This window comes from Homo sapiens, chromosome 11 (genome assembly GCF_000001405.40).
Source record: "Homo sapiens chromosome 11, GRCh38.p14 Primary Assembly".
Lineage (NCBI taxonomy): Eukaryota > Metazoa > Chordata > Mammalia > Primates > Hominidae > Homo > Homo sapiens.
In genome coordinates, this window is record NC_000011.10 from 109,734,473 (window position 1) to 109,735,705 (window position 1,233).

Below are 1,233 nucleotides of genomic sequence, written 5' to 3' on the forward strand. Positions count from 1 at the left end.
GTTGTTCCACAAAGAACAATGCAGCCATTGTTTCCACTGCTTTTCCTAGTCAATACATATGTCTTCCTTATAATTAGATAGGTTATTGCTATTATTTCTTATGCTCTGTAAAGATATTCATTGCCATATATAACCAGTCTTTGAAAAGAGCGTTATAAGCAGTTCCCTGCTGCTATTGCCTCGCTAGAGAACTGCAATGCACCAAGTGAATATGAATAAGTTTCAGCTCTGATGGATTTCCTTTGTGTAAGCAGGGATGCATACCAAGTGACAGCTCAAGGATTGCTGGGAATGTTTCAGAATTCCAGTTGGGGCCTATGTGAGTATGGTCATAGCAGTGATGATTGATATTTTGACCTGCCAAGCAGCTTGGCAGTGTCTCATGAAACATGCTCCAGAGACTGTCTAACAATGTTAAACCTCGTGACTTTGTATTCTGTAGGAACATGACCTGAAATGGCCTCATAAATCAGAGATGCTTTTTCCAATAGCTCTGAGACAGAAAAGAAGAAAAAGATGTTTTGAGTATATTTGTGTAAGGCTATCCTAGAAGTGTCTTAGAATGGTATCAGTGTCTTTTTGAAACGTATACACTCATATACACAGACTACCAACAGTCTTAAAAATAAACACTGGGTCATTTTATTTTTTATTTTTTTTCCTAATTACTATAGTCTTTCCATTTTAGTGTGATCTGTCTCTTCTGTTTCATTGTGATTAAACATACATACACAAATGTTCTCATTCTTGAGTTACCCCCACAGTCTTAACACTGTGGCCTGCACATAGTGGGTACTTAATCCAGTGAGGCAATACCCTTGACAAAGATTCAGAAAGGCACATGCTGTCGTCACACTGTAGTGAGACTGGGCCACAGATGGATGATTCAGCCATGGTTAGCCTGTGTGTGAAACAGCAGGTGGCCATAATTTAAATGGGTTTGACAGACTGACACATTGAAAATGTTTTAGGACAAAGTGGAGTTTATGACAAGATTGACATCTGATTGTAGTTTCATTTTATTGGTCCGTCAACTGCAACACCACTAATGCAGATGCATTTAACTCAGGAAAACTTTGAGGAGCCTTTCTCTTCTTATTGATGTCAACTTAAACATATTAAAGTGAGAAAGTTTGAAAAATTGGACATGACTGTGTCTTCTACTCTAGACACCACCTACCTGTTCTTCTCTGATTATTTTACCATAGCCATGGATCCCTTGGGGACCATTTT

At 38.4% G+C, this 1,233-nt stretch overlaps 1 annotated feature.

Annotated features, from left to right (window-relative positions):
- Positions 758-958: a silencer, noted in NCBI's record as "peak1462 fragment used in MPRA reporter construct". NCBI's record gives its function as "represses an SCP1 promoter by STARR-seq MPRAs in K562 erythroleukemia cells {active_cell/tissue: K562}" and the evidence as "EXISTENCE:reporter gene assay evidence [ECO:0000049][PMID:32103011]".